This window comes from Homo sapiens, chromosome 1 (genome assembly GCF_000001405.40).
Source record: "Homo sapiens chromosome 1, GRCh38.p14 Primary Assembly".
Lineage (NCBI taxonomy): Eukaryota > Metazoa > Chordata > Mammalia > Primates > Hominidae > Homo > Homo sapiens.
In genome coordinates, this window is record NC_000001.11 from 195,108,787 (window position 1) to 195,117,085 (window position 8,299).

Consider the following 8,299-nt stretch of genomic DNA (forward strand, 5'->3'; position numbering starts at 1 on the left):
CTAAGATCAGAGCAGAACTGAAGGAAATAGAGACACAAAAACCCTTCAAAAAATCAGTGAATCCAGGAGCTGGGTTTTTGAAAAGATCAACAAAATTGACAGACCACTAGCAAGACTAATAAAGAAGAAAAGAGAGAAGAATCAAATAGACCCAATAAAAAATGATAAAGGGGATATCACCACCGATCCCACAGAAATACAAACTATCATCAGAGAATACTATAAACACCTCTATGCAAATAAACTAGAAAATCTAGAAGAAATGGATAAATTCCTTGACGCATACACCCTCCCAAGACTAAACCAGGAAGAAGTTGAATCTCTGAATAGACCAATAACAGGCTCTGAAATTGAGGCAATAATTAATAGCTTACCAACCAAAAAAAGTCCAGGACCAGATGGATTCACAGCCGAATTCTACCAGAGGTACAAGGAGGAGCTGGTACCATTCCTTCTGAAACTATCCCAATCAATAGAAAAGGAGGGAATCTTCCCTAACTCATTTCATGAGGCCAGCATCATCCTGATACCAAAGCCTGGCAGAGACACAACAAAAAAAGAGAATTTTAGACCAATATCCCTGATGAACATCAATGCAAAAATCGTCAATAAAATACTGGCAAACTGAATTCAGCAGCACATCAAAAAGCTTATCCACCATGATCAAGTGGGCTTCATCCCTGGGATGCAAGGCTGGTTCAACATATGCAAATCAATAAATGTAATCCGGCATATAAACAGAACCAAGGACAAAAACCACATGGTTATCTCAATAGATGCAGAAAAGGCCTTTGACAAAATTCAACAACGTTCATGCTAAAAATTCTCAATAATTTAGGTATTGATGGGATGTATCTCAAAATAATAAGAGCTATCTATGACAAACCCACAGCCAATATCATACTGAATGGGCAAAAACTGGAAGCATTCCGTTTGAAAACTGGCACAAGACAGGGATGCCCTCTCTCACCACTCCTAGTCAAAATAGTGTTGGAAGTTCTGGCCAGGGCAATCAGGCAGGAGAAGGAAATAAAGGGCATTCAATTAGGAAAAGAGGAAGTCAAATTGTCCCTGTTTGCAGATGACATGATTGTATATCTAGAAAACCCCATCATCTCAGCCCAAAATCTCCTTAAGCTGATAAGCAACTTCAGCAAACTCTCAGGATATAAAATCAATGTGCAAAAATCACAAGCATTCTTATACACCAATAACAGACAACAGAGAGCCAAATCATGAGAGAACTCCCATTCACAATTGCTTCAAAGGGAATAAAATACCTAGGAATCCAACTTACAAGCGACGTGAAGGACCTCTTCAAGGAGAACTACAAACCACTGCTCAATGAAATAAAAGAGGATACAAACAAATGGAAGAACATTCCATGCTCATGGGTAGGAAGAATTAATATCGTGAAAATGGCCATACTGCCCAAGGTAATTTACAGATTCAATGCCATCCCCATAAAGCTACCAATGACTTTCTTCACAGAATTGGAAAAAACTACTTTAAAGTTCATATGGAACCAAAAAAGAGCCCACATTGCCAAGTCAATCCTCAGCCAAAAGAACAAAGCTAGAGGCATCATGCTACCTGACTTCAAACTATACTGCAATGCTACAGTAACCAAAACAGCATGGTACTGGTACCAAAACAGAGATACAGACCAAAGGAACAGAACAGAGCCCTCAGAAATAATGCCACTTATCTACAACTATCTGATCTTTGACAAACCTGACAAAAACGAGAAATGGGGAAAGGATTCCCTATTCAATAAATGGTGCTGGGAAAAACTGGCTAGCCATATACAGAAAGCTGAGACTGGATCACTTCCTTACACATTATACAAAAATTAATTCAAGCTGGATTAAATACTTACATGTTAGACCTAAAACCACAAAAATCCTAGAAGAAAACCTAGGCAGTACCATTCAGGATATAAGCATGGGCAAGGACTTCATGTCTAAAACACCAAAAGCAATGGCAACAAAAGACAAAATTAACAAATGGGATCTAATTAAACTGAAGAGTTTCTGCACAGCAAAAGAAACTACCATCAGAGTGAACAGGCAACCTACAGAGTGGGAGAAAACTTTTGCAATCTACTCATCTGACAAAGGGCTAATATCCAGAATCTACAATGAACTCAAACAAATTTACAAGAAAAAAACAAACAACCCCATCAAAAAGTGGGCGAAGGATATGAACAGACACTTCTCAAAAGAAGACATTTATGCAGCCAAAGGACACATGAAAAAATGCTCATCATCACTGGCCATTAGAGAAATGCAAATCAAAACCACAATGAGATACCATCTCACACCAGTTAGAATGGCTATCATTGAAAAGCCAGGAAACAACAGGTGCTGGAGAGGATGTGGAGAAATAGGAACACTTTTACGCTGTTGGTGGGACTGTAAACTAGTTCAACCATTGTGGAAGTCAGTGTGGCGATTTCTCAGGGATCTAGAACTAGAAATACCATTTGACCCAGCCATCATATTACTGGGTCATTATATCCAAAGGACTATAAATCATGCTGCTATAAAGGCACATGCACATGTATGTTTACTGCAGCATTATTCACAATAGCAAAGACTTGGAACCAACCCAAATGTCCAACAATGATAGAATGGATTAAGAAAATGGCACATATACAACATGGAATACTATGCAGCCATAAAAAATGATGAGTTCATCTCCTTTGTAGGGACATGGATGAAGCTGGAAACCATCATTCTGAGCAAACTATCACAAGGACAAAAAACCAAACACTGCATGTTCTCAGTCATAGGTGGGAATTGAACAATGAGAACACATGGACACAGGAAGGGGAACATCACACACCGGGGACTGTTGTGGGGTGTGGGAGGGGGGAGGGATAGCATTAGGAGATATACTAATGTTAAATGACGAGTTAATGCGTGCAGCACACCAGCATGGCACATGTATACATATGTAACAAACCTGCATGTTATGCACATGTACCCAAAAACTTAAAGTATAATAATAAAAAAAGAAAACCCAGAAGGAGGGACTCCTCCCCCTATTATTCTATGAGGCCAGTACATACACACCAAAAAAGAAAACTTCAGGCCAATATTCTTGATGAACATTGATGCACAAATCCTCAACAAAATACTGGCAAACTGAATCCAACAACACATCAAAAATGTAATCCTGGATGATCGAGTAGGCTTCATCCCTGAAATTTAAGCTTGGTTCAATATACACAAATCACTAAATGTGATTCATCACATAAACAGAACAAAAGACAAAAACTGTATTATTATCTCAATGGATGCAAAAAAAGTCTTTTGATAAAATTCCACATGCCTTCATGTTAAAAACTCTCAACATGAAGGAATATATCCTAAAATAATAACAGCTACCTATGACAAATTCACAGCCAACGTCAGACTGAAGGAGTAAAAGCTAGAACAGCATTCTTGAAAACTGGCACAAGACAAGAAGGCCCTCTCTTACCACTCCTATTTTTTACATGATTCTCCTTGTACAGTTGTAGGCTCCACTGATTCTTTTGAAAATGTGTTCTTTAGTTATTCCTATGAAATATAGAAAGCAGATATCTCAAGATAATAATATTATTTAATGTAAGTTTACATCAAATAATCAGGGTCAAAGGATACTAATCCATAGTATCTTGCACTCTGAATGTTTCTAAAATACACGAGTCAAGGCATAGGTAAGGAAATTTGAGAAAAGTGAACTTTCTTTATGTGATGTCAAGATTATTCTGCTGTGAGCTGGCCTGAGTCAATTTTTACATACTTGTAATAGGTAGCAGGAGTAGCCTGTGTTTGGTGTTGCAATTCTCTGCTATTCCTTCCAGATATTAATGAACAAAATTTGAAGAACCTTTTACTATGCTGGTATTTATTAAACACAGTTTTTCTTTAGCTAGCTGGTATAAAATACTACACACATACTATTCTGGAGGCTTAATTAAAAACAAACAAACAAAAAACTTTAATAACCCCAAAAAGTCACCAAAACTTATTCTGTTATTTTACTTGCTATGTTAATAATTAATCTAAATGATCCATTCTAAAAAGGAAACGTTTTCTAGAAGAAGAATTGTCTTATACTTAAAATTAATATCAACTCACCAGAATACTTAGATTCAATGGTGGACATAGAGCTAAGTAATCAGGAGTCAGCCCTAAAGCTATGTGCAGTAGGGCTTGCAAATTCTTTAGATTTGCTCATTCATAGCAAAAGAGGGTTTCTAAATATCTTGACCAATTTACCTACGTACTGATCACAACAAAAAGATCCGATTTTTATAGCCTATGTTGTATTTAGCAAATCACTAATTTTATAATTGGATAATTCATTACTTATGCTTAGCAAAGCCTCTATCAAATAAAAATATCAAATAAAAATGTAACTAAAATATAAACAAAGATTATGAAGTAGTCACATCTCAAGTAAGAGGTTTCTGCTAAGGATGATGGTAGACAGTCCTAGTATATAGACTTATCTAAAACAAACATGGTGACACATAACATCCACAACAAAGACATAGCTGTATAATTGAATATTTGATCACCTGTGATTTGCCCAAAATACATCACAAATGAGAGGCTTTTTTTTTTCACTTAACCTACATTAGGAAAAATCTGTCGTGGGAAGTGTCAAATACAGGATTTAATACTTAGAGAAAAAGCATATGTTCCAGATATGTAGAGTTTGGAAAATAACTTATTTCTCAGTTTAAAATGAGGAAATTCTAAGACTTGTCAGCTAAAATTAAGAGTACATGACCTAAGCAAAAGTGAACCTAAGGTATTCATTTGAGGCATTAGAGGTTAAAAAAAAAGAAAAGTATTGTAAGGGTACCATGGAGAGCTCCTTCATGGAAACTGTATTTTTCTTTGTATTTGTGTCAGAGGCCAAGGCAGAACCCACAGTAAAGGGAGCAGTGAAATTCACATTTTGGAGACAGAAGAATGAAAAACTGGATTTCTTTCTATTAAACTGTTATTATAACTCATAAGTTTAAGGAAGCAATCAGTAATTTAGATTTCAAACACTTTTAGAGAATACACAAATGGCAATGTTCTCTGTCATTACAGAAATTAAGCATGCTTTTTGTTATCTGCATGAGTCATAATAGAAACAAAAAGAGAAGAAATTCCTCAATAAGGCAAATATATAGCATCCTTTCTAGAAACTGAAGATGTATTTAAGAAACTAACAGTGCAAAAGGGGTTTGCAGTGTCCTGGCAACCTTACCTGACCTTGCCAATGGCCATGCATTTTACCTTAAATAACATATTTAGAATCTTTCAGACTCAATTTCCATTTAAGTAAGATTATGGGACATAAAAGCATGGGTCTATATAAGGTCACTGAGATTCTAGTATTCTTTGATTGTCCCTATCTTCCATTTAAATTAAATTTTTTTTTCAAAACTTTGAGCTCTCTGTAGATTGCCATCAATGGCTGAAATCCTGAGAAAAAGTGAAGCCTAGATAGCTGGAATTGCTTGCTAGCTTTGAAAGAGTTTGCCTCTTGGAGAGTTGTATTTCCAGAAACATACAGCAGGAAATTATTGTGCTTAGGTCCTGCCTTAAAGCAAGATAAGGCTTTGCTACTCCAAGAAGGCAGGAAAATAAAATATGGAGTTATGTGATTTTTCTTATCAAACACTGTTCATATCCTCAGTGACAAATGTAATTTTTAAATGGTAGTACTTTAAAGTAACTGGTTTCTTTTTTAAAGCTTTCAGTGTGTGTTTTATTTTTTTATGTGTGTACCTGCAAATTACAAAATTGCATTTATTACAAATTAGCATTAATATTTTGGATCATTAAGGAATATAATATAGAAAAATCTACTAAAGGAAAATACCCCCAACTTGACCTGTAGTTATGGTTAATTTTTGACATATGCTGTTTGTAACTAACACCTAGAGGGATTCATGGCAATTGTCTTCAGAAAGCCTTGATTATTTTGAAATGTTAAATTGAATGGAAGTGACAGTGGGGAAGTTGGCCATTGCTACTTTTTCCTTAACTCACTGTAACTAACATAATTTCAATCCTTCCTTTACTTATCCTTAACTGTATGTGTATTTATTAGGAATGGGACTGGCAGAACTAGAAAATGTATAGTATTATATTCCACGTGGTAGTACAATATATTAAAAATGCAGTCTCTTGCAAACTGAAATGATCCTCTCATCCATGTAGTATATTTCTGCTTAAGGCTATATTCTAGGCAGGTAATAACAATTAATAAGAAATGAAATTAAATTCTAAATAAACGGACATTTAAGGGTACAACAACTGCAATTCAGAACACAGTTATGTATTTATACTTCATGTGACATTATAAGACATGAGTTATTTAATTACACATGATATATAAATAAATGCTTACATGATATATTAAGTAGAACAGAGCATTTTAAATTTTGTAATTAAGCCTATACATATACAAATTTGAAATATGTATCCCTGTCAATTTGCTATTATTAAAACATCATTTTAATATCATTCTTCCATGAATATCACAGCATACTATTACTTGTTTAAAAATTTTATGTCCTAGCCAGGCGCGGTGGCTCACGCCTGTAATCCCAGCACTTTGGGAGGCCCAGGCGGGCGGATCACGAGGTTAGGAGATGGAGACCATCCTGGCTAACAAGGTGAAACCCAGTCTCTACTAAAAATACAAAAAATTAGCAGGGCGTGGTGGCAGGCGCCTGTAGTCCCAGCTACTGGGAAGGCTGAGGCAGGAGAACGGCGTGAACCAAGGAGGCGGAGCTTGCAGTGAACCAAGATAGTGCCACTGCACTCCAGCCTGGGCGACAGAGCAAGAGACTCTGTCAAAAAAAAAAAAAAAAATTGATGTCCTTTTTATTCCAAATAGTTTTAGTGGTCCAGGAACAACCTTAGAATTTGTATTTAGAGATAAAAATATAGTTTTTGAAATTAGGGAAATCTTTATTTATAAATTTTGAAGATAAATGAGGAGATGTCATTGTAATTCTAACTTTGTTGTTAGAAATTTTCAATAATTTTATTCTGTAAAGACAACCATTAACATAGTAAAATAAATTTGCATCTTATTTTTGACAGGAAAATATAAGTTACAAATACTATACATATTGTAATTGAATTTTAGTATGAAACACTTTATAGAAATCATGAAACAAAACAATTATGGTACTGTTTCTGGTTATAGGTTAGTAAAAAATTTGACTCTACTTTCTAAGTTTCAATGTTAAATTTTATACAATGTACATTTTAATAGGAATAATTGTTCAAATATCTATGTCTATTTTTAAAGTCCAAATATCATTTTTAACACTGTAAATGAACTCTCTATGATTCTACTCAGTGAAGTGTTTCAAATGTCAAATCATTATTAATTACTTCACATATTTCAATCTCGAATCATTTTATAAGAGTGAGGAACTGTTTAATTTCTAATTCCAACATTGTTAGAAATAATATTAATATTTCATAGAGCTGTATCTTTACTTTCTTTTGGGCTAATTATATATATGTATTAGTATTGACTATAAAATGCCAAAATTAGACTATTTTATAGAAATAACATATTTTACTGTTATGCAACACTACATCTAGCATATCGCCCTATTTCAATCATTTAAAATTTTGTAATTACTGTATACTTCTCCCACAGATTAACTCTCACTATTACATAATAATAAATAGCAAATTATATTCTGTATAATGAAATGTGCCCTTAAGCAATAAATTACATTTTTTGGTGTTGATTTATTTAAAAATGAGTGCATGTCAATGTTCTCCTTAATATAAATGATGTGGATTCAGATTATTTCTTAATTAATCAGTAGTTTCACTTGGACATGAGGAAATGTTTATTTTTATTCCAAAACAAAAATAAATTTTTTAAAAAATCTATGGAAATAAAAAATTGTATTTAGTATTTGGAAATGAAGTTTGTGACACCATCAGACAACCTAAAAGCTATTAAGGTTCAAACGTTTGTTTAGAAACATTTTGAGAACTATTATATATTACAAAAAAATCACTTTTTAAAAGATAAAAAAGCATGTTATATTTGTAATAACAAATACAACAAACATTTATTTAATGTCTCTATATTTAAAAGCAAGAAACTATCTTTATACACCAGTAAAAAAAACTCAGAAACCTCAAACTAAAATAGATGAGGACATTAAAAGAAAATTTACAGGACATAAATAAATCAATGAACAATAAAAAAATGGAGAAATGTGAATATAACATGTGACAACCACATTCTAAAAATTAGATAC